Source organism: Homo sapiens, chromosome 3 (assembly GCF_000001405.40).
Source record: "Homo sapiens chromosome 3, GRCh38.p14 Primary Assembly".
Classification (NCBI taxonomy): Eukaryota; Metazoa; Chordata; class Mammalia; order Primates; family Hominidae; genus Homo; species Homo sapiens.
In genome coordinates this window covers 96,100,508-96,102,087 of record NC_000003.12, presented here as the reverse complement: position 1 = coordinate 96,102,087, position 1,580 = coordinate 96,100,508, and the positions used below count along the sequence as shown (strand labels likewise).

General features: G+C 33.5%; 1 annotated feature.

Moving 5' to 3' along the window:
• Positions 620-1,121: an enhancer, noted in NCBI's record as "NANOG hESC enhancer chr3:95819811-95820312 (GRCh37/hg19 assembly coordinates)". NCBI's record gives its function as "activates a minimal SCP1, AML or CMV promoter by ChIP-STARR-seq in primed H9 embryonic stem cells {active_cell/tissue: H9 hESC(primed)}" and the evidence as "EXISTENCE:reporter gene assay evidence [ECO:0000049][PMID:30033119]".

Here is a 1,580-nt window from a genome sequence, read left to right as displayed (position 1 = left end):
ATCAAATTATCAATGTCATTTTTCACAGCATTAGAAAAAACAATCCTAAAACTCACATGGAATTATAAAAGAGCTGTACAATCCTGTAGCCAAAGCAATACTAAGTAAAAATAGCAAATCCGAAGTCATCACATCTCTTGACTTCAAATTATACTACAAATTAACTACTGTAGTAACTAAAACAGCATGATATTGGTAGAAAAATAGACACATCGATCAATGGAACATAGCAAAGAACCCAGAAATAAAGCTACATGTCTACAACCAACTGATCTTTGATAAAGTTAACAAAAATTAATAATGGAGAAAATACATCCTATTGCGTAAGTAGTGCTAGGAAAATTGTCTAGCCAAGTGCAGAAGAATAAAAACTGGACCTCTATCTCTCATCATATACAAAAATGAACTCAAGATGAACTGGGACTTAAATATAACACTTGAAACTATAAAAATCCTGGAGGATATCCCAGGAAAACCTCTTCTGGTTATTGGCCTAGGCAAAGAATTTATGATGAAGATTCCAAAAGCAAACAAAAAAGACAAATGGGACTTAATTAAACTAAAAAGCTTCTGCATACAAAAGAAATAATCAACAGATTAAACAGACAACCTACGGAATGGGAGAAAATATTTGCAAATTATGGCTCTGAAAAAGAACTAATACCTAGAATCTACATGGAACACAACTTAACAAGAAATGAACAAACACCCTCATTAAAAACTGGGCAAAGGACATGAACGAACAGTTCTTAAAAGAAGAGATACAAGTGGCCAAGAAATACATGAAAAAACACTCAACATCATTAATCATCAGAGAAATGTAAATTCAAACCACAGTGAGATATCATCTTACACCAGTCAGAATGGCTATTATTAAGAATTCAACAAACAACAGATGTTAGCATTGATATGCAGAAAAGGGAACACTTCTACACTGTTGGTGGAAATGTAAATTAGTTCAATCACTAAGGAAAACAGTATGGGAATTTCTCAAATAACTAAAAATAGAACTGCCATTTGACCTAGCAATCCCACCACTGGGTATCTACCCACAGGAAAATAAATTATTATACAAAAAAGACACCTGGGCTTCTATGTTCATCACAGTGCTCTTCTTAATAGAAAAGTCATGGAACCAACCTCAGTGTTGGTTCATCAATGGTTGACTAGGTAAAGAAAATGTCATATATATATATGTGTGTGTGTGTGTGTGTGTGTGTGTATAAGTATATATATGTGTATATATGTATATATGTGTATATATGTATACATGTGTGTATATATCTATGTATATGTGTGTATATATATGTATATAAACACACACACACACACACACACACCATGGAATATTATCCAACCACAAAAATGAATAAAATCTTGTTGTTTTCAGTGACATGGATGAAGCCAGAAGCCATTATCCTATATGAACTAACTCAGAAACAGAAAATGAAATACCATTCGTTTAGCTTCACAAGTGGAAGCTAAACAATGGGTACACATGGACATAAAGATGGAAATAATGAACACTGGGGACCCAAAAGCAGGGAGCGTGGGAAGGGGACCAGTTCTGAAAAATTACC